The sequence below is a fragment of the Homo sapiens genome, chromosome 13 (assembly GCF_000001405.40).
Source record: "Homo sapiens chromosome 13, GRCh38.p14 Primary Assembly".
Taxonomy (NCBI): domain Eukaryota; kingdom Metazoa; phylum Chordata; class Mammalia; order Primates; family Hominidae; genus Homo; species Homo sapiens.
In genome coordinates this window covers 36674020-36697881 of record NC_000013.11, presented here as the reverse complement: position 1 = coordinate 36697881, position 23862 = coordinate 36674020, and the positions used below count along the sequence as shown (strand labels likewise).

The 23862-nt window shown below is 39.4% G+C and overlaps 1 protein-coding gene and 1 long non-coding RNA gene across 5 annotated transcripts in view; one reads left to right on the top strand and one right to left on the bottom strand.

Moving 5' to 3' along the window:
- Nucleotides 1-22537, top strand: part of LOC102723490 (uncharacterized) — a 113878-nt gene extending 91341 nt beyond the window's left edge. Inside the window, exon 7 of one of the 4 annotated variants that reach the window (XR_001749825.2) lies at nucleotides 22455-22537. This is a non-coding gene — a long non-coding RNA (uncharacterized LOC102723490). Of the gene's footprint in view, nucleotides 1-15595; nucleotides 15688-22454 lie in introns of those variants that run through there. The other 3 variants (XR_007063757.1, XR_001749824.2, XR_001749828.2) reach the window with 3 other exon arrangements.
- On the bottom strand, nucleotides 43-23862 carry SERTM1 (serine rich and transmembrane domain containing 1). The gene is made up of 2 exons (NM_203451.3): nucleotides 23698-23862; nucleotides 43-2976 (listed from the first exon to the last, which is right to left on the bottom strand). Exon 2 carries the CDS (start codon nucleotides 2801-2803, stop codon nucleotides 2480-2482), a length of 324 nt encoding a protein of 107 aa, NP_982276.2. The 5' UTR covers nucleotides 2804-2976; nucleotides 23698-23862; the 3' UTR covers nucleotides 43-2479.

The window sequence follows — 23862 nt, the reverse complement described above, 5'->3', positions numbered from 1 at the left end:
GATTATAAATCACCTCACTGGAAAAGAATCAAAGAACCAGGCTTTCAATGGACTCCACTTCTTTATTTATAAACCCATCTTCCAACCTTTCTGAACTTCTTAAACAACATGAATTCATCTCAAGTTGTACAATCTGTTACCTTGGCAAGCTTCTAATGACAAATCTTATTTTCCATCTTTGAATGTGGCTCTTAATTTCTCTACTAAACATTGAGAGCAAGAACCATTGCGGCAGGGGAGGAATGGGAGTGTGCTTGTGGATTTGATTTGATTTGATTTTTAAAGTAGTTTTGCTGTCAGAATTCTTTATATCTCTTTCACATGGAAAGGATATAAAGATACCCTGAGGACAGATCATACTCAGATTGTTCTGTTGTGTGGCAAATTTGTCCTTTTATTTAAAAAAAAATCACTTCATCCATGTCCTTGTTTCTCTCTATAACAAAAACAGCATAGGATTAGTCAAAGAGCAAAAGTGATAATATAGATGCCTCTGTAATCCTGTGTAGCTTTCACACGACTTTTAATTGGGAGTATGTGAGTTTATATATATATATATATATATATATTTATGTGTGTGTGTGTGTGTGCGTATATATATGTATATATACATATATTCAGAGAATGCTAATAATGCTCTAAAATAGCAGTTTATCTAGTCCAGTTTTTATACTACATAATGACACCCAACCCACTGCCATGCTTTAAATGGAAGCAGAGGTAAATTTTTCACTAATTATACATTTTAGGGCAGCAACTCTGTGCTGGTCTTATGGTGTTTGGGGACGTTTTTGATATATAAATAGTTAAATGTGTTCTGATTTAAGTGAGGCTTATGAATTAAAAGAAGAAGAAGACTTCTGATTTTCATTCCCAGACCTCCACTCACTCAGCATTTTAGTATGATAAAGATAAACCCTGTACAAATAGTGGATTCTTTCCCCCATTCTAATCACTGGAGAGTGCTGACTGCACAATCTAACCAAACGGTGTGTTGAAGCCCCACTGCTTAAGATGATTAAATGTTTTGAACAAGGAATGATTCAGTTGCCATGGGAAGACCGTGGCGTGTTGATGCAGTGGCCTCCTGTAGGTTGAATAAGTTCAGTGTTTACCCTGTGGGCCATTTATTTTCAAAATTAAATTAAAATTCTTACTCTTAAGGAGCTGCAGTTTGATTGTTTTGTTTTTAGGGGCAGCTTGAGTTCCTCCACATTCCATGTCTGAGCTCACATGTGTGCCTAATTTCACAGACAGCCCCTGCCACCCGCCCGCCGAGTTCAGACATACTCTGCTGCCTGCAGCACGGCAGCTCCTAGGATCCCTAAAGCTCCCAGCAGCTACACAACTTGAGTGCCTACAATTTTTAATACAAACTCACATCCTGAAATCCTAATGTAGAGTATTATGTTAACATACAACAACTAATTATCAGAGACGCAACATTCGTGGAGTATATAATAACACATATATTTGCAATTTAGTTTCTAAGTTTTACAACCTAATGTGAGTGAACAAATATCAGACATCTTGGAGGCTTAATATAATTCTGCACTAAAATTATAAAGACTATGAAACCGAATAAAGGAACTTACACGACAGCTAAGAGTTATTACTGTATAAAATACAACTAAATGAATATTTTCCATATGCTTAATTCTCACTGATAGAAATTATTCATATAAAAACTTCTTGGCATCTCTTCTGGTGCTTCTCTTAGTACTAGTAACAGCAATTAATCACAAAAATTCCACAACTTTGTGGCATTATGACTAAAACATAAGCAGAAAAACAAAATAAAACTCCAGGAGGCAGAAATACATCACAAGCTCCATCATAATACATGTTTGTCTTGCTATTAAAATGTAAACTCTTCCAAAACTTTCCCAAATGACTTACATTCATCAATAAGTGTGATTTTTACTTGTTAAAGTGAAGTTAAAGAAAATATTTAGCATATATTTACCCTCAGTTTTAGAAATGTCATACATTAAATCTAAATTGACTCTCTTCCTTTTTAAGTTTGGTGTCTCCACTTTATCTTTTAAATATGGAAAATAACTTCTACATAGGTCAGACTTGATTTTGCCAGTTTCTGCAGGCTCAGTTGATTTCACGGCTTTGTAAAAGAAATGAAGTGCGAGTCCATGTCCAGCATCCACGGAGAGGCCACCTCAGATGAGCCTACGGCGTCCAACAAAGTAGAATGAACTGACTTACCTGAAGAAGCCCAGTCTAGATTCATCAAGCCATTTGTGTGAAATTCTGCACCTTGGGGTTTGCACACATTTCCACCAACATCGGTGTCTCCATCCCCAAATGAAAAGCATCATGAACAGAAAAGAAATCAGAGAAAAAGGAGAAGGAGAAGCAGGTCTACACCAAAAGGATCATTTCTTTCATGAGGCAATGCCTCACGGGACACTTCCGTAAGGGGATGTCAAAACTGCTGCCACACTCAAGGACTCTTCCATTTTCCTCAGGATGAAAGGTTTGAAAAAGTGGACCTCTGAGAGGAAATGCTGCAGACTTCCAAATTGGTGAAAGAACTTCCAGCGTCGCTTGGATACTCTGGGTAGGAGGAACTGGAGGAGATGATATTTTTGAGCCTCTGGAGGGCAATGATTAAAAGCAGAAGCAGAAACGCTAAAAGGCTGAGGAATATGGACACATAGATGTAGACGTTTGACAGGTGGCCTGAGGATGGGTCCACTGACGTGGACAGGGATGTGGGAAACAGCTCAAGAAAAGTTCCATTCTCCACACTTCCCGAAAATCCTGAGGAAGTGTCAGGTTCAGACATCTTTATGGAGGGTGAAGGAGTGATCTGGTAGATTAAAGTCAAAACTTCACACAGGGCTTACACAGGACAGATTGGCATTTTTTCACGATCGTGTTTGCAGAATTCACAGGCTGTTAAATCAGCACAACAAAACTTGTTTCTCAAAGGCAGCAGGTATCAGATGTGCATTGAGACTGAAAAAAAAAAGCAAGTCAGTGCATTCTTCAGAAAAATCACATTTAAATTCCATTTTTAGGTTTTATTTCAGTAAGGATTAGTTAGAAAACTCAGCATGGAGGAAACAAGATGATATAACTCCCCTAGGAATCAGTCATGTTTATGTCTTTATATTACAAATGATGATATAAAAATGAACGTTTATTTTCTGTCTACAGTACCCTAGGTGCTATGTTTCTACAAGGAGCTGAAGATAAAATAAAAGGGAAAATACATTTATGATGTGCTCCATCTGCTGTGATTTCAATAGATGCTCCAAGTATACACTCTGAGATGAGAACACAGAAAGTTAGTTCCAAACCTCCCTCCCCCAGAAAATTAATTCCATACATTCACCAGCTCATTAGCATAATTCCTGACCAGTAAATCCCTCTAGCACACTTTGGAAAATCACTGCACATGTGAGTTTGCTTTTTATCGAATGTTTGTAAGATGCTGATTTGTTTATGAAAATTCTATCTCCTTGAAATCAGGTGCCATTTCTATGTAACTCTTTTCCTTAAATGTACCTAGGTACTTTGTTTTACATGCTTTAGGCATTTAATTTAAAAACTTTAGATTCATTTAGAAGAAGAACAAAGGTTAGATTCTCTCCGAATGGTAGAGAGAGTATCAGGTTGGCTGTCAAGAGACTTAGGTTTGAGGTCTGAGTTCTCCATTATCTTTGGGAAACTGGGCAAATTACCTACGTTTTCTGAGCATCACTTTTCTTATTTGTAAAATGGTCCAACACCTGCTTCATCTTCCCATGGTGTTATGCACTGACCAACATAATAGACATGGAAGTATGCTGAACTGTAAAGCATTGGAGAAAAAAATGACTTTAGTGTGTGGTGGGAGATAATGGGACTTGGTGGATGGGTGGGTGTAGGGTATTGTGTTTTAAGGAGTGTGGAGGGGGGACCATTTCTTCTTAGCCAGGTGCAAAGAAAAGCTCTTCACTGTGTTCAGGTTGTGAGACAAGAGGATCCCTCCTGATAGATAAGTCTTTCTTCTAGTCCAGAAAAGATGCTCTTCCTAGCTCTGTATGGCTCTAGATAATTTTGCTGTACATTTCTAAATCTTGCTTCCATTGTGGTGCAAAACTAACAGGAAAACATTCACTCTGCCTCTAGCTTTCTCTTCCTAAACTCTGCCCTTCATTTTACCTGGAGAACTTGCCTTTTCCTTCTGTTCTCCAAATCTAATTAAGCAGCTGATTCTTGGAGGGGTTGACATTTGCCACTGTGGCTGGAGCTGAACAGCACTAATGATCCTTGTTAAGGTGGGGACACTTCAGAGAGGGCTGTCCCTGTTGGGTGACAGGCAGTCTAATGAGTCCTAGTGAGTTCTTGAGTAGGCTAGGGATGGTGTCTTAGTAGTTCCTAAAATAATTTGACTCCTACTCCTCATTTTGCATTGCCTGGTGATTTTAATTCCATTAGGCTGCTATAGGTTCCTAACCAACCTTAAGGAAAAAAAAAAAAAAGAAGAAGAAGAAGAATCGCAGTGGGACTGCAAATGTGTTACACTGTTTTGGCAATACCTAGCTTTTTTATAGCACATAAATGTTCCAGCCGTTCATCTTTGGGGAATATAGCAAAGAGTTGCAGAGGTAGCATAGAAAAGAAAACTAGGATAGAAGCCTCACAGATTGGATGGGAAAAACTATTTAAAATGTTCAAGTACAACCTCCTAAGTGTAGCAGAGGAAATAGAGAAATAAAGAAGCTAATTGATTTGACAAAAGTCACATGTCTAATTAGAAGACAAGCAAGGGCTTTTGGCTTCTCCCCACCCTCACCCCCTATAACATCTGGTCTCAATTTCTCTAAGGTTTTGGTGGGAAGGATCAAATGTAAACATAATTTCTTTTCTGCGTGGGCAGATAAGGCAAAGACTATGCATCTTGTGTGTTCCTCATGACTACTTTGCAGGGCAGGTAAAGCAGGAATTATTCCCATTTTGGAGATGAGAAAACTGACATGCAAAAACATCGCGATTTACTCAGGGTACATAGCTAGACAGTGACAGAAAAGTGACTAGAATCCATGCCTGAACTGTGTTCTTGGTTTTCTCAACTGTGGTAAGAAAAGAAAAATTATGCTTTGGATAATTAGTTCCTATCTGCCACTTACTTTGGGCAAGCCCACAGTTTAGTCCCGATCTTTTATTTTTCTCATTTGCACAACAGTGATGCCTACCTTTCCTACTTCTCCAGAAGGTCTTGAGTTAAGATGTGATAACATTTTCCATAATCATACTTAGAAAATCATAAAAGGCCATCCCAAGTAAAGTGCCAGTAGATAGAAAGTTCCTTCTAGAAAGTCTAGAGGAACTTTCAAGGTCTCTCTTAGTCCTACAGTTTCGACAGGTGTAGCTGAAGTTGGCTGATTTTTCTAAAGCTACCTTCTCTGCTACCCAAGTCTGTATCATTTTCAGGGATGGTGCTGGAGGCACAGGCAATGTCACTCTGGTATCAGCAATTCAGTTGGTAAAGCTTACAGCTGGCTACCAGACCTCTTGTTAATATCATTTTACAGGGTAAATATTCTAAGAGTAGGTTTTTACTTCCAGAAGATTGCCTTCTTTCAGACCAAAACCCCACCATGAGCCTCAACTGTTGACAGGAGAGTTTATAGGAAATGAGGCTCAGAAGGTTTGGTCAAAGCATCTGATCTTTTAAGTGGCCTTGGAAGAATAGGAGAAAACAAGGAAATGAAACCTTGTGTCCTTATTTGACATTTCACAACTAAATATCTTCTTCCTTAAGTATTCCCCCCAAATATTATTGATTTAATACCATTTCCGGGGTACTTCTTAATTTAAAATCACAGCTACACAAATTTCATTTCATACTCTGAAACAACAGAGTATGTGCACTGCTAGAAAGAATTTTAATTTGGATGTTAATTCTCGTTTCCTTATTGAAGTTTTAAAAACTGGAATATCTTCTTTCTCTTTGGTTTTATTTAACAGTAGCTGTATAATGCTCAGGGTGACCCAGCCTGTATGTGTTTAGGCATTGTGACAGTGTGGAAACAGGCTGGAGGTTGCACTGCGGAAATGAAATCAAATGAGTGTGTTTCAAGATGATGCTTCTTGGGCTGTTGCTCCCAAACAGATAAGGTTTGAGGAAAAGAAGAAAGAGACTTCATCTTAAATGCATAGCCTTGACCTGTCTCGGGGCAGCGCCAGCAGACTCTCATTTCAGGTGACACCTAAAGCCACATGGGGATTTTGATGCTTTTTTTCCGCTCAGAATCACTGTCCTCAGAAGGTGATTTTTGAGAAAGGAAAATGAGACAGTTGGATCACAACATTATAAAGGAAGACCTGTGGAAATGTTTTAGCTCATGGTCAACCAGCTTTCCCTTTGTCTCTTGTAATAAAAGCCTGGGCTGGGAAGAAATCTACAAAAAAGCAGTCCCCTAGTGAAGTGAGGAAGGAGGGATGTGCAGTCTCTCACCATGTGCCCAGTGGGGTGGGGAAACAGAGAGACAACGTAAGACAGCGCACACCTGGGGTCTCTGGTTCCCAGTCATTTAGCACCACAGCCCTGGGACCCCTTTTAAAGAACTTCCTTCCCACGGAAGGATTATGAGGACTATAATGTTTGGGAAGAAGAAAAACATACTCTCTAGCACGTACCTTCATTCTCCATAAATGAAGAAGAGTTGACCAGCTCTCATCTCTGAGTGCTCTCACATAAGCATTGCAGGACCCATGGCAGTCAGCGCATGGGCCCAGCCTGCGCCACATCCTTGACTTCTATGACACAATAGTTTGTAAAACTCAGGCTACCAGTCAGCCTCAAATATGGCACAGCAATTTTAAATTTCATGACCTTTATTCAAATACATTTCTATGTGAATAACGACTATTTGAAAGGTTTTTGTTGTTGTTGTGGAAAACTGGGACAAGCTGCTTTGTTCCCTTGCGGACTTTATATTTAAAGAGTGGCCTGGCTGTTAGATGCCATATCAATGTTCCATCATTATCAGGTTCTGCTGTCATACTCCAAAAGGTGATCCTCTCAAAACCATGAGGAAAGTGGCCACAAAGTATTAACACAACATAATAAAAAGCTTTTTCCAGTACACAAAAGGAAGATTTGATAGTTGAATGGAATTAATGGTTTTAGATGATGTATTAGATCTTTTCCTCTGTAGAACACCTAAAAATGAATATTTCCAGAATCCAGAAGGGAACTTATCATATCTGAGCAAAGCTGTTTTTCATTCTATTTAGAAAATGCATGTTTTATATAAGACCTTGCAGCCATTCCTTTACCCTTTGCATGATTATCTTCTCTTTTAATGCTTTCTCTCTCCTTAGTGGCCTTTTAGGTCATGCTAGCTGAGAGAAGATTACTGCTGACAATACACACTTCCCACCACCCTTCTCTAAATGTAAATCTTCACTTGCATTCAAAGGCAAACATTTACCCCTGGGCCTTGCAGTAATAGAAATAAAGTTTACTATCTTACGTGCTACCCTTACTCAAAGCTGACTCAGCCATCCATAGAGTTGCCTATTTGAGAACCGCCTTTACTTATCAGTACAATGCTTTGGGAGAGTAGAGTTTTGTGTGAACTCTCATTATGAGTCCTTCAATTGGCATGATAAAAACCAAAGCCACGTTAAGGAAATAAACTGCATCTATCTGCTATCGCACATTGAGAACATTGAATTAGAGGGCCATGTTATGCGAAGAAAGGTGGGGAGATGGAGATTCTGAATCGTCCATTGGGTGATGTGAGACAAAAGATAAAAATGAACAATCTTTTTAATTTACTTTTTAATCTAAATGAATGATCAGAAAATACACTCAGAGTTTTTCCATAGTACTTTGGTGGATAAAAATTATAGAAATGACAAATTAATAGCTTGGTATCAGTGCTTTATTTTAAGAATCAATTCCAGCGCAGGCCATTAGGTTGCTTTGGGTTCGGCCCAGTCTCTCCATCTCTCCCTTAGTGATGGTTTTTGTCTACCTGGATTACTCCTAGGCTTTGTAAAATATTTCCTCAGCAAAAATAAAAATAAATATAAATTATACTCAGAATATTTTTACTTTAGAGAACTTATTTTGCACTAATTCTTTAAAAATTAGTTATCTACGTAAGGTATAATTCTCAGAATATTCACAATATATCTTTCTTGATATATAAAACAGAGTTGATTGAGGGAAACTAAAAAAAAAACCACAGGAGAATCTTTCAAAAAAGGATATGAACTTAATTGTTTTGAGCATCTACCTCATACAGTCTCAAAAGTAATTATAGGTATAAGTCCCTTGCATTTATTTAGCTTTGTTTTTCTGGGGGAAAAAAACTATTATTATTATTATTATTATTATTATTATTATTATTATTTTGAGACAGAGTCTCACTCTGTCTCCCAGGCTGGAGTGCAGTGGCATGATCTCGGCTCACTGCAACCTCTGCCTCCCGGGTTTAAGCAATGCTCCCGCCTCAGCCTCCCTAGTAGCGGGGATTACAGGCACCTGCCACCATGCCCCGCTAATTTTTGTATTTTAGTAGAGATGGGGTTTCGTCATGTTGGCCAGGCTAGTCTCGAACTCCTGACCTCAGGTGATCTGCCCATCTTGGCCTCCCAAACTGCTGGGATTACAGGCATGAGCCACCACGCCTGGATGTAACTATTATTCTTAATAAATTTTTTAGTATGTTTACATCCATGGGAGGATTTTATATCCAAATCACTGCCTTAGCAAGAATAACTATTTAAAAAGATACTCTCTTAGAATAAAATGTATAGCTAAATGGGTAATTTTCTAGATAAAACGGTCAAGTACAAAACCAGGTCCAGGCATAGCATTTTCATGATTCTTTTATGGTGTTTACAAAAGACCAAGGAGTAGAATTCCTGCACTTCAGGGAGACTGGACCCATCTTGGCTAACATAATTGGCCTAAATCAAAACAAGAAAAGGAGTAACCTGCGGGTTGAAGAAAACACTAACTGGTTAAGAAGCAGCAGAATGATGAAAGCCACTTTTAGAGAGCAGGAGAAAAGGTCATTGGCTATACACTTGATTGACAGAAAAAGCCAACAGCCAGAGAAATAATGACTTGAAGATCATAAGTAAGATCATAATGAATCAATGGGAAGAAAGAAGGTAAAAAAAAGATTGGCTTTTCAAGATATTACAGCATTTTAAATGAGAGCTTTTGGGATCAATTCTTTCCCCCCATCCTGCTCTGATCATTTCCAATATTTTAGAAGTATATTAAGAGAAACATCTTTTAATCTCAGATCAGCTAAAATTGGTTAAATCATGGCATTAGTAAAGTAAAAAGTCTTGCTTATTTTTAGCAAAACTAGACAACCTTTCAGAAAATTCTCAGGCTGGGCATGGTGACTTATGCCTGTAATCCCAGCACTTTGGGAGGCTGAGGCAGGAGGATCGCTTGAGCCCAGGAGTTCAAGACCAGCCTGGGCAACATGAAGAAAACCTATCTCTACAAAAAATACAAAAATTATGCAGGCATGATGGCGTGTGCCTGTAGTCCCAGTTACTTGGAGGCTGAGGTGGGAGCATTGCTTGAGCCTGGGAGGTCAAGGCTACAGTGAGCCATGATCGTGCCACTGCATTCCAGCCAGGGTGACAGAGTGAGACCCTGTCTAAAAAAAAAAAAATACATGAAATAAAATAGAATTCTCATAAAACCATGCCGTGCTAGGACAATGGAATGGTGCCTGTTCCTTTTCTTTTGTGTCTCATTTTGTCTCTATAGTAAAATAATTTGTATCCAATATATATTTTTTGTCCAACCAGAAAATGTTCATAACAGTCTCCATATAGAGAGTGATATTTGGAAAGATTTTGTGCTTGTAAAATAAATTTGTGATTGTCACAAACCCCTGGGAATAAGTCAGCCAGAGCTTTTTTTTTTGTTTTTAATCCTTTGCATGTAAACTACTAGGTATCCTCAGGCCTTGGGGCCTTTGTGGGCCTCTAAAACTGTCCTAAGAGAGCAGGGAAGAACTTGAAACTCCATCTCTCACAGGCATCCAGGCTAACGAGTTTAATGAGAACCTTTTTGTTGGTCTCTGTTCCTGTAAATGTCTTATTACGTTGTTGTTGTTGTTGTGTGCGTGTGTGTGTGTGTGTATTTTTAATTTATAAGAATGGATGTGCAGTAAATATTTTATTCACTCTATAACACAGACCCCAAACTTCTTTGCCACTTAGAATATCTTGATAGTTGAAGCTTGATGCACAGAAAGAGAGCAATGTAAACTAACCAATGTATCAAGTTCTCTATTTTTGCACATAAGAATACAACAAGGAATAACAACCATTATCTATCCATAAGATCATGTGTATAGGCACAATTTGGAAAAAAAAAAGTAAAGATTCCCCATTAAGGAGATACTTTTCCCCTTAATGTAATGCAAGATCATTGGTAGATTTTGGATCCACTTGTCTGAAAAAAAATTTCAGCATTAGCAAAATAATTACACAGGTCACTATTTATATCTATCTCTATTGACAACCGTAATCATGTATTTGTTTAAACTAGGGTGCTTTATATAATATCCTATTCCCTAAAAATGGATTAGAACATCACAAATATGCATAAATGTTATGTGTCTTGCATATCCCAATAGGAATTCAAGCTAACAGAGTCTTTCGCTTAATGACATTTTTAATTCACATTTCCGTGAATTAATGAACCATTGTTTCTCATAACACAACTACAGATAGAACCCTAGTTGATTACATAGTCTGTAAATTGCCCATCTCATCCAGATATTAGCCAAGTGTTTGGCATAACATATACATATGAATTTTGCCAAATAAATTATCTCATTCTTCCAGTACTCTGTGGCTGACAGTCAAAGTATGATAATGCTTTCAAGAGTAAAATGGCTATTTAAAAAGAATAATGCCTATTAATTGGCAGCTTAGGCAGGCTAAGTTTTGGATACATCCAGTTTTGGCCATATTATATTCTTTAGTAGTCAGCTGAATACTCAGAGAAAAAAAGTAGGATTCAGACTTCAAGATTTCTTCCCTTATAAGGATCCTCAATGTAAGATCCTTGGTGGATCTTGGATCAATTAAAAAAACCAGCTTTGTTATAAAGCACATTATTAGGACCACTGGGGAAATTTGAATATAGACTGTACATTAGATAATTATACCAATATTAAATTTCCTAGTTGTAACATAGGAGAATGTTCTTGCTCTTAGGAAATGCATATTGAAGTATCTAGCCATAAAGCTTCATATTATCAGCAACTAACCCTCAAGTGGTTCAGCCAAAATAGAAAAAAAAGTATGCACACTTACGCATATACATGCATACATACATAAAACAAGTGTGTCAAAATGTTAACTGGTTAATCTAGTTGACAGATATATAGGTATTTATTGTTATTATTCTTGCAAGTTTTCAACAGTTTTAGAAATTTGCAACGTGCAAGTTGAAGAAAATAATTTGTCCCAAGGAACTTAAGAAAATATGCTTGGAAAAATATGCGCTAAGTCAGCCAAAATGTTAGAAACTTCTAAGGAAATACAATGATAGAAGCCAGATTCTTCTGTGGGCATTAGAAAAGCTCAACTACTTGCTGCTACCATCAGCTCATGATGCCCAGTAAGCCACAAACACTTGCAGTGAAGCATCAGAGGATGAACTAGAGGGAGCTGAATATGACCAGGAAACTGTGCCTGTGGTCGTGGGAGAGGCTGCCTGAAGACCAAGAATGGTGACTCACTAGTAAGCCTTATTCACAATTCTACTCCTGCCACCACCCACTGGACTGAATCTCATCTGGGCCTCCAGGAGCAAGTAATCCTGTTATGTGCATCTTACATCATCAGTCATCTTCAGAGGCAGCCAAGGATATCTCTCCTGCAGTTTAAACACCCAGTCAAAGCTTGGGACTAGCAGTTTTCTAATGAGGACCAATGAGTAGGTGATCTGTGAGAAGATCAGGGAGAACCCACAAGAGCCAGCGTGGTCCAGGTTCAAAGTAGGGACTTCAGGAAACAGAAGCAGCAGATAAACTAAACAGAAGCAGAGACTTCACTTGGGCAGCTAAGTGAAAGAGGCTGCAAGTAGCAAGTTCCACAGATAAAAAGGCTCACACTCCTTACAACTCTTATAACTAGCCTTAATCACCTCCTTAATCACCTTGGTTTGGGTGAGTTCTCTAGTGTAGCAAGAGTCTAAACTTGATCCCATGAACTCACTTACAGTCCAGGGCAGAGTCTTTTGTCATAGGGGCCAATGAACAGTTCAGAAATTGAAGCTAGTCATGGCAAAATGCAGCTGCAATTTTAAAAAATAGGAAACATTTATATGAATAGTGCTTTTCCCCAGTCATCACCAATCATATGACTGAGGATACAGGTAGGGACCTGAAATTGTCAGTGCCAGATGAATCTGATATTAGACAGAGGTTACATAAAACACGATCTATACAAGGAGACTAAGTGCTCTCTCATGGCTGCAAAATTACTCATCTACCTGGATTTCCAAGGACACCTGGGAAGGGAGAAAACAGAAAGAGGACGTTGTGTCCTTCATTAGGAAAGCACCTTCCCATGTGGGTTTCCCGTGGTCCTGCTAATCCTCAGTGTGAACACAGCGGCCGAGCCTGCCAATGCTCTCTGTTTCTCTCACAGGCGGCACAGCGAACTCAAAAGTCTGGTTAATAAAGAAAATGTCTACATGTTCCTCATAACATGGAACAAAATGATATGGCAGGCTATCAAGTGTGGGTGGAAATCAAGTCTTCAGCAGCCTGTTGTCATTTTAGATAACGATTCAAGACCAGAGCCTGTCAAAGACAATATGGAAGCAATAGACAAGTGTAGGCTCAAATTCTCCCAGAGCGTATTTCAATTTGAAAATGTAAGAAGGTGAAACTGAAAAATAATTAGGAATTATTTGTGGAAAACAGACTGCCAAAGTAGTGACCTATAGAAGATAGTTACACATTCTTTTAAAAATATAAATAAATATGTTTTCACTCAAGGAAATTATGGATAATCTTTAGTACAAGATTTAACTGACTTTGACAGTCCTTTATCAAGGCTGAGCTCTTCACCTTACTTTTAGATGATGTGAGCTCTGCATTTTTAATTCATTTGTAGAAATAGCCTACACTTTCACCCATTATTCACTATTTTTACATCTAGTATCAGTTCTCTTTCGTTTCAATGGTTTGAGCTGGGATGCAGAGACACATCATGGCAGAAGAATGATGAGAGGTACAGGAGAGAGGAAAGAGGTAGTGAGGGCATCCCCAAGTCATTGAGGAGTAGCAGTCTGTCTTCAGAGCATGATTGGCAGAGGAAGGCAAACCCAGGATGCTTGTGGAGGAGAAAGAATGTGCAGACAAATCAGTTTGAGAAAAAAGAACCAGAGTAACATAAATGATGGCTGCTAGTATTTATCAAATAAAAGCATGTACCAATTTTGGATGTGTGTCTGTATATGTATGTGTGTTTTCTTTAATCGCCACAACTCATTAAGTCAGTTAGTATTATCTCCCATCATCTTTTTTAGCAAATGAGAAAATTAAAGCTCAGAGAATTTTTTTTTTTGACAGAGTCTCGCTCTGTCGCCCAGGCTGGAGTGCAGTGGTGCGATCTCAGCTCACCGCAACATCTGCCTCCTGGGTTCAAGCGATTCTCATGCCTCAGCCTCCCCAGTATCTGGGAGTAGAGGCACCCACCACCACGTCCGGCTAATTTTTGTATTTTAGTAGAGACGGGGTTTCACCATGTTGCCCAGGGTGGTCTCAAACTCCTGAGCTCAGGAAATATGTCTGCCTCAGCCTCCCAAAGTGCTGGGATTACAGGCGTAAGCCACTGCGCCCCACAAGCTCAGAGAATTTAAAGGCTTGTCCAAGCTCACCCAACCACTTAGAGGCAGGGCTGGAATTCAAACTACATCTCTCCGTCTCCAAATTGTATGTTCATTCCATTCCTTCTCTCTGGGGAGACTGTGGGTTGAGGAGGAATGTATTTGAGACTTGTAGTCACTAGTGCTGTTCACGAAATATTTCTGATGTCCCTTCTCGTAGGCCTGTCGTAGGATTTCATGTTCCCACTCCCTCTGAATTTAGGGTGACTGTATGACTTATTTTGACCAATGAAATGTATGAAAGGTGACATGTCCCTTCTGGATAGAAAATGTAAGACCTAGTGTGAGACTTGCCACACCTCTTCCCTCTGCTGCAGTTATTGTGTAATGGTGTAAGTACCTGCCAATGTCTATCAGTCTGCATCCTTGAGTGACCACAGTGAGTATCTTCACCCCTTGCTGGCCCCATTGACACTTATGTCAACATTAATAAACTTTTGTTGTTTTAAGCCACTGAGATTTGGGGCTTATTTGTTACTGTAGCATCATTCTCCTTCTACTAACTAACATAAGGTCTCACTATACTTTGATGGCTGAGTTTATTATGGGTCTGTAAGAATTTGACCATAAATAAGTCAAATTATGAATAATTGAGAGTTGTATGAATTGTGTATGTAATATATTAAAACTCTATTTTGGCACTGGTGAGAAAGAAGGTTTTCAAGGCTGTTTTGGTTAGCTTTAATTTCATAGAAGTGTTAGGTTTAAGGGCATGAGATTTAGCTACTGGTAGTGCCAAAGACATGTTCCTTAACAAGCTCAAATATGATGAGCTGCTACTGTATAAGGATAATCCTGACCAGCTGTCACTTAAACAGGCCAAATGGTTTCAAATGGGAACAGGTGAGAGGCAATAAGAATATTAAGACTAACTCATGACTCCTAGTGGAAAAAAAAACTCATCGTACAAGGGTCAGTGGTATTGTTTTTGGTTAAGAAAAACTAGCTACTTGGGAGGCTGAGGCAGGAGAATCATTTGAACCCAGGAGGCAGAGATTGCAGTGAGCAGAGATCATGCCATTGCACTCCAGCCTGGGAGACAGTGTGAGACTCCATCTCAACAAATAAATAAAGAAAGAAAGAAGAAAAAGAAAAACTATAGTATTTGCTGCATTCAATCATACATTGAACAAATATTTCTTAACAATGTACAGGAAGGGGTAGAATATTATCATTATGTGCATGAGTCTAATGCATCTATAATTTGTATAGTTGCCAGCTACAGTGAGAAATCTAAGACTTCTCTTATATGGTCTGTCCCTTATGATCTGGCCACAGGCTACTTTTCCAGTCTCGTTTTTACCATTGTACCTAAGATTTGCGTTCCAGGCATAACATGCTGTTTTCAATTCTCCAGTTAAAAAAATACTTATGTTCAATCCTTATATGTGTACATATCCTCTCCCTAACTTGAACCCAAATCCAATTTATTCACTGCAGGTCTCTACTCAAGCCATCCATCCTCTGTCTCATCTGCTTATTATTCACCTAATAGAAATCCCTACCTACTTTCTCTATGCAAATTTCTGGCTCCCTCCTCTGCATTCTCAGCATACTTTCTGTACCTTTCTACACTAGCATTTCTCACATTTTATTATACTTACTACATTTATTTACCTATCTGCTTTAACAAACTGGGAAGTCCTAGAATAAAGAAATAACAATTCACCTATCTTATATCCACAGACTAGTACAGAATGTGGCATAAGGATGATCAATCAGCATTTGTTAGATGGCTGCATGAATGAAAGAATAAGGGAATAAAGAAACTTGAAGCTTCTTGGAGAGATAGCTCATGTTTATTCTGTCTTTACAGGCAAAAGAATGTTTATTTAACAAATGAATAAATGATCTTGTGTAAAATCATAAAGATTACTCAAAGGGGGTAAGCATCAACAGTAAAGAATAATGATGATGAATGCTCTCTAAATTTTAGAAGTGTTTCAATTATGGCAATAAAATTAATAGTTTCTGGTTCCAGGGCAAACTATGCCCATACTTTTAAAAATCAACCAACTGTGTCTTTCAACAATGTCTAAGAAAGCTAAGATTTTATTTGGTCAACTGTTCACCAGGATAATTGAGGAAAGGATGGAGGAGTGTGCTGGAAATACTGAAATACATTCTTGTGAACAAGCTGGAGGGTTGTAACAAATGTATTCTGAAGGGCACAATAAAAATCAAGAGAGTTTACCATAGTGAGACTATGAAGCTCTGGCTGAATATGACCCAGAATGCATTTTTAAAAGAATTTCTTAAACTCCATGATAATTCCATCCTTTGAAAATCACAAATCCTTTATCATCACAACCTATGACACTGTGCTCATCTGTGGAAATAAAAAGGGTCAAGGAAAATCCCCACTTCATGATCATTGTAGGGGAAGCTTATTATAATTCACTACATTCAGGAATATCACATACCATAGGATTGTTAGCTACTCCATCTCAATGCTAAACCAAACCAAACCAAAATGAAACAAAAACAGCTTGAAAAATTCAATAGCAAATCAGCACAGAAAAAGAAAATGTTTACATTTTTATCAAATGTTCAATTTGACTACAAAGTGCTACTTTGGAGATCTGGGCTACTCAAAGTAGCCACCTGGCTCCCTCAGTGGCATGTTGGTTACAGGTCCCTGTGAGATGAGGAAACTGCAATAAATACAGTGCTTCCTTCATCAAGAAAGTCTTGCTACAAAAGAAGAAAAAGAAAGAAAGGAAATAGTTAAACTAAAAAGTATGCCTAGTACCTTATTTGATTTATATTCTGGCACGAGTTCTGTATCTCATGACGAATAAGTAATAATTCAAATGGGCGCTGGTGCATGGACTGTGCTTCGAGTAGTACTTGACGCAGATCATAGCCATGGTGATGTGAGCAGCAATCTCCTTACCAGCACTATGCCAGGGAACTAATCCAAAAACCTCAGCTTCTTAGGAAAATAATAAGAGGAGTGAAAACAGATGAGCACAAGAGAAGCAAATATTCTCTTTTTTCATTCATCGTACAACTAACTGCAAATATATAGCAGGTACTAGGTACCTGATTTATTCTTTTGTTTTCCTTTATAGTCCCTCTAAATCTTAACTTTCCCCTATTAAAAAACAGGAGAATCGCTTGAACCGGGAGGCGGAGGTTATAGTGAGCAGAGATCGCACCACTGCACTCCAGCCTGGCAACAGAGCGAGACTCCGTCTCAAAACCAGAAACAAACAAACAAAACGACAACAACAACAACAAAGTAAAACCATTGAAAACTAAAAACCACACAAGCAGCAATAACAACAAAAGAAAAAAATTTTCATAGAATCAGAGAGCTACAAGTCTTTAGCAATCAGGAAAATGACACCCCCAAAAGTTAAGTGAAGTTTGAAGGTCATTGTTTATATGTCACTTGTTTTTGAAAAAGGATATGTAGTAGGAACTCCAGCTAGTGAAAGAGACCACAAATTGAGGGCCTAGCACCCCCTTTCCAACCCTAAATCCACTCTATACTCAGAGCTGAGCTGAGTGGCTAACAAGAGGAAGGCAGACAAAAAAGAAGTTAATTTTTTTTAATCCAGAGGCTTTTCATCATATGAATCAAAATATGTGCCAAGCAGGGAGTTCAGTGGAAAAATGTAAGGCCAAAACCGACAGGGATAATAAGGCGACACTTGAACAGACTGAAAGATCTTAGAAACTCATTCCATTCAACTAGACCCATTTTGTTGGCGAGGAGTCTTTCTGAAGGTCTGAGACTAGCATCCAAGCTCACCAAAGACTTTCCCATGAGTAGTTGTTAGAACGACAGTTTTGCCTTGAGGAGAATGGCAGAGGGTACAGATTGAGTATCCCTTATCCCTTATCCAAAATGCTCTGGAATCAGTGTTTCTGATTTTGAATTTTTTTTTGGATTTTGGAATATTTGAATATACATGAGATATCTTGGGGATGGGACTCAAGCCTAAACACAAAATTCATTTATGTTTCATATACACCTTATACACATAGGCTGAAGGTAATTTTATACAATATGTTTAATATTTTTTTTTGCATGAAACAAAGTTGTGTGCGTTGAACCATCAGAAAGCAAAAATGTCACTATCTTAGCCACCCATGTGAACAATTTGTGGTTATTTGGTATCACCATAATTCCTGACTGAATTTATATGCTACTCATAGGAATTATTTTCTTACACTTATTCGCACACAAATACTTAACACTAAAAGATATGACATCATTAATACACAGAAAAAAATGTGTTCAAGGGTAACTAAGCAGGTCAGGTGCGGTGGGTCACACCTGTAATCCCAGCACTTTGGGAGGCCAAGGCGGGTGGACCACTTGAAGTCAGGAGTTCAAGACCAGCTGGCCAGCATGGTGAAACCCCATCTCTACTAAAAATACAAAAATTAGCCAGGTGTGGTGGCAGGCACCTGTGATCCCAGCTACTCAGGAGGCTGAGACAGGAGAATCGCTTGAACGTGGGAGACAGGTGTTGCAGTGAGCCGAGATTGCGCCACTGCACTGTCCAGCCTGGGTGACAGAGCAAGACTCCATCTCAAAAACAAAAAACAAACAAAAACAAAACAAAACAAACAAACAAAAAAATTGACTAAGCAGTACAGTTGCATCTCAAGAATACTTGTATCAGCTGTTCAACAACACCAACAACAAACAGCAGGCTTTCAGTCTCAACCTGCTGTGCTGCCTTTTGATGAAAAGGGTACTGTGCACTGTGGCATCATGCCAATGCTCAAAAAGTTTAGATTTTGGGACATTTCAGACTTTGGATTTTTGGATTAGGGATGCTCAACATGCATTAGTAAATTTTTTTTTTGAGCCTGGCACCATTTATATGGGTGTGTCAAATTGAACACATAAATTATGTCTTTATGATATCTTATGTCTTTATGATCTGTGTACTTTTCTATATGAATGTTAACTGCTAATAAAATTCTTTTGAGGAGAAGAGTATTATGTGCCAGGCATAGGGAAGAATGGGTCACAGTGAGGAAGGTCTACTGCTTGTTGCATGAACTATTTGAATGCTTCTCTTTTCACACAAACCAGGTAGCATTATAGGATAACAGTGTAAATGATACATTTTAAGAATTTATCCAATGGAGAAAAAAATCAGACAAGTTTAAAAGTACATGCACAAAGATGTATTCTGTAGCTAAACATTGAAGCTACTAAAATGTCCATGAGTCAAAGATTAGTTAAATAAATGACAGAAGAGTCACACAGTGGAGTCTCTTGATCCTCTTATATTAAAAAGGACTATATTTTATATATATATATATAAATTTTATTTTATTTTAAGTTCCAGGATACATGTGCAGGACGTGTAGGTTTGTTACATAAGTAAACATGTGCCATGGTGGTTGGTTGCACCTATCATCCCATCACATAGGTATTAAGCCCAGCATGCATTAGCTAATTTTTCCTGATGCTCCCTCCCACCACCCCACCCCAACAGGCCCCAGTGTGTGTTGTTCCCCTCCCTGTGAAAAAGGACCGTATTTTCTAACATGAAAAGATGCTGAACATCTATGACTAAGTCAAGAAAGTAACCTTCATGATAGTGTATACTATGATTCCATTTTTTGTAAAACAACAACTACTACTGCTACTACTATTATACACACATATATTTTAGATGCAAAAACAACAAAACAAAACAAGAGGTTATATACCAAGCTGTTAACATATGTTTTTGTTAGAGGGTAGTATTATGGGGGCATGTTAACATTCTATTTTGTGCATTTCTGTATCTATATTTTGACAAAAAGAATGTGTATTGACATCAGAAAAAATAATAAAGGTATTTTCATTAAGAAATAGAAATAAAATTTGATTATAGCATATGCCATGAAAATACTGCTGGTTTTTAAGCCCAGGACTTGTTTTTTCTCTTCCTGCTCCTCCTTCTCCCCTCTTTTTCTGTACTGTCTATACTTAACACAAACCTTTGAAATGGTTCATTTCTACCATTTTTTTTTCAAAGTTTGACTCTCAGGCTGATGCCAGAAAGTCAATCTTCCTAACAGGGGTTAAATGTACTTGGAGGTAGCATTGCATTTTACAGGATGTTGTCAATGTTCTGCTTAAGAAATGAGAATAGTATATCCCTCTGATATAATCCTGGTCACAAGGAAATTGAAGGTGAATAAGGACCAAGCCAGTTTAACTGGCAACAGTTGATAGATTACCAGGTACTTCTAATCAGCACCAGACTACCCTAGCAAGTTAACCAGGAAAGCTGCTATATTGGCCTCCCCTGGGAAGTGAATCTATACGTTGAATGTTCCCTGAATGAAGTTAATTAGTGTTTTAACTGTGGTTTCAGTCATCTTCCAGTCTCTCTTAATTTGAAACTGATTCTTATAGCCACCTATCCTTCTGCTTCCCATCAGAAGTTGGATTCAGGTCTGTTACCTTCTTAAGTGACCCTTTTAACAATTATTAGAGGCTTACATTTTCCAGACCCTTCCAGATTAACAATATCAACATCAAGAATCAAAGTACAAATTGTAGACCTAGACTGACTAATTTCCTGTCTTAATATAGCTTAATAGTTGGGAATTTAAAAGTTAGGAACTCAGAAAATATTAGTGATGTACCCCATTTCTGATGGAAATGTGGAGGTTTGTCATTGGCACTGTTTTGGCTGGATTACGCTACTTCATGCTTAGAGATATGTTAAAGTGTGTACGGCTGTTTGACGGCTCAGACATCTTTTATCTTTTTTTTCTTTTTCCAAAAAAATTTCCAAAGTTAGTAAAGGCTAAATAATGACTATTTCCTATATCCATAAGGAACTCGTGAAGGACGCATTTTATGTCATGAGACTGAGCATGAAGACGTTGTATCCTAGGGATACATCTGCCACAAATCAGAATCAGAACAGAAGGGACCACAGAATTTGGCCCAGTAGACTGTTGCCCGGCTCCTGAAATGGCCCGTGAATGCACAGATGGACTTCCTGAATTCTAAATCAAAGGTTGGGCCACATATGCATACCAAGGGCATCTTCATCTAAGCCTCTGGCTTGAATCCTCTAGGCACACATGTTGGCTAAAAGGAATCCTGCCAACTCGTGGGCTTAAAGCTTGAACTTCTTCCTTGTTGGCTTCCCTATTCCATTAACTAATTTAAAGCCTTTATTATTATTATTTTTAGCTCTCATTATAAACAATCATGAAATCTATAAAAATTAGGTCTATAATACTTTGTATTAATATACTAATATAATATAATAGCCTCCACAAGTAGATATTTGAAGAAAACAACATTCTTCTGTGGCACTACTTTTTGGCTTTTAGTTTCATTTAACAAATATTTACTGAATGGCTTATGGGTACCATGAGCCAGGCAAGTGGGACCTACACAGTGCCTGGCATCCAGGGCCATTCAGAAATGTATTTTTTCAGATTCTTAAATTACTACTTTAAAAACTCAGATGAACAAAACACAAAAATTCAGCCATAATTTTATTTTTCACTTCTTCATTATAACTAATTAAGTATAAAAATGCTCGTACAAACTGTACAAACTTTAAACAAAAAAAGGACCCCCCAAAAATGTTGTAATATAAGTATAGGGAGAAGAGTAAGCCAGAGAAGAACGATCATCAAATGAGCTCAGACTTTATCTAGTATAGAGGCTGAATCAGAATTTTGCCTGTGATGAGTTAGTCTTTCTTTTTTATAATGAACGTATAACTCCAAGTTTGCTTAAAGGTTAGTATGGTTGGTCATTCTTACAAATCAGCTCTGTCATTCTTCATCTGCCCTCACTAAAAAAGAACAAGAAAAAAGAAAAAGAAACCCAGGAAACCTGCAAATAAACTCTCTCGTGGATTTGATGCCACATGCAATCACACAGTTATTTATATCTTAACCCCTGATGTGCTTGTCCAAATCGTAGACATCTAGTAAAATCTGTTGAACTGAACGAACTAACAGCAAGGGAGAATGGACTCAATCTTACCTTACAACAGGTTTCTTTAATGAGAACAATAAATGTGTGCGTTCAGCTCTTCAAAGCACTTTGCCTTATATAGAGGAATCAAAAATAATAAGCCCCTCAAAGCCAAAACACAAAAATGGAATATCCCACCCACGTGCTGGATCTCAATATTTCCAGATTACTTCTGAGGTTGGCAGAGGCTTCGGCGGCCCTACGATGTCCAGCATTTAAAGGTGACTAGGGCATGGGCTGAGGGAGGCTCTGAGACCAGGCAGCCTCACTCACAAGCCCTCCAAAAGGCAATTTGCTTTACAGATCAACTAAAAACGGTGTTCTGAGTGTGGTGGTGGCGGGGGAAAAGACACTACTCTACTTAGTAAAATGAAGAGAATTTAGTTACAAAAAAGATATTTAAGAACCTCTATGGGCATGATCACAAATAAGCTGAGACACCCAGACTAGTTGTATAATTCAGCAAATTAAATATTGTTTTTTTCAGAGGGTGCATGGGGCTCCGCAAGACTGCATTAAGAGACAAACCCTTTAAGAAAAGACTGTCACTTGTGCCTCTTTTCCTGTTGACAGGCTGTTGTCTGAACAATGAATCCTGGAAGCACCTAGGAGAAGGCACCTAGGAGAAACGTCTTAGGGAGTAGTCCCGCGGGTCCGCCCCAGGACAGTAACGCTGTCAGTTTCCCCGCCCTTTGCACCTGTAGTGCAGACGGTACCAAATGCGATGGCTTTGAGACGTCCTCTAGACATCGGAGCCCATCATTTACCACAAAGAACACTGAAGTACTTACTTTAGCAGAACATTTTCCGAAGAAAAATTAACAGGGAGAGGAAATGAAGGACACTAACAAACAGACCCCATCTCTAGAGTCTGAGATCAAACCCAAGTCCGATGGAGCCCGGGCATCTGGTGGAGGAAAGCGGGCAGGCATAGCCCCAATCCTGGTCCTCAACAAGATATTTCTGTGAATGAATCCCTCTGCTCCCTGGAGGAGGGCACATTACATATCCCTTTCCTAAATCAGAACTGAAGCAATTTGCCCATCATTCGCACACCTCGACAGGGAAAGGCAGGATTCCAGTGTCTCATCAGACCCGGGAAGAGGGGAAGGGTCGCTGGCGCAGTTACCTACTGGGTTTCCGGGAGCTAGGGAAAACGCCCCTGGGAAACGCAAGTGTTCAGCGCCACATAAAACTTCCCCGGATTTAGGGCCACCCTAAGACGGGCGAAAAGACTCTCCAGCGCCTTAGCAGGTGCAAAGCCAGCTGTCAGTGTGCGCATGGCGAGTCCCCGTTCCCGAGAAGGGACGCAAATGACCCTAGAAAATCAGACAGGAGCAAAACAAACCCAAGAATGACCCTCCACACACCACAAAGGCAAAAGCAAACAGAAGGCACCTAGACACACTCTGCAAAGTGTAGAACTGTCTACACTTGCATGGAGGAATCCACCTTGCAGAGCGAGGGTAGACCTTCCCGGTTCCCAGTGTCTGGGACCGAGGCAGGTCAACACGGGGCCAAGGACATTGCACTCAGGGCCCCTCGCGGCTCCTCCTGCAGCCCGTGGAGTCACCCCAAGACTCGGAGAGCCGGGCTGCGATTGCTTCTCGGGACAGTAAGGACACCTCAAAAGGGATAGATTTGGGGGTGTTTCTCAGAAAGGAGCCACATCTCCGGGAGCCCAGATCTCGGGGGAGAGTCTGGGAGGCGGCTCGCCTCCAGGACCCGAGGCCGCCCCAGGCAAGGAGTGGGGCGCTCTCCGCGTAGGGCAAGTTCACCCCCAGAGCTCGGGACCCTGCAAGTTTCCCTCACTGACCTGCAGGTCAGGACACGCGACTTCCCCGGCAGGTCTCCTGCGCTAGCGGTGGGGCGGTGCTCCGGTCTGGACGATACGCGCCCGCGAAGCCGTCCTCGGGAATGTTGGGCGCAGCGGCGCGGCGCGCAGTCTGGGCGCACGGCGGACAGCAGGCGCAGCGGGAGT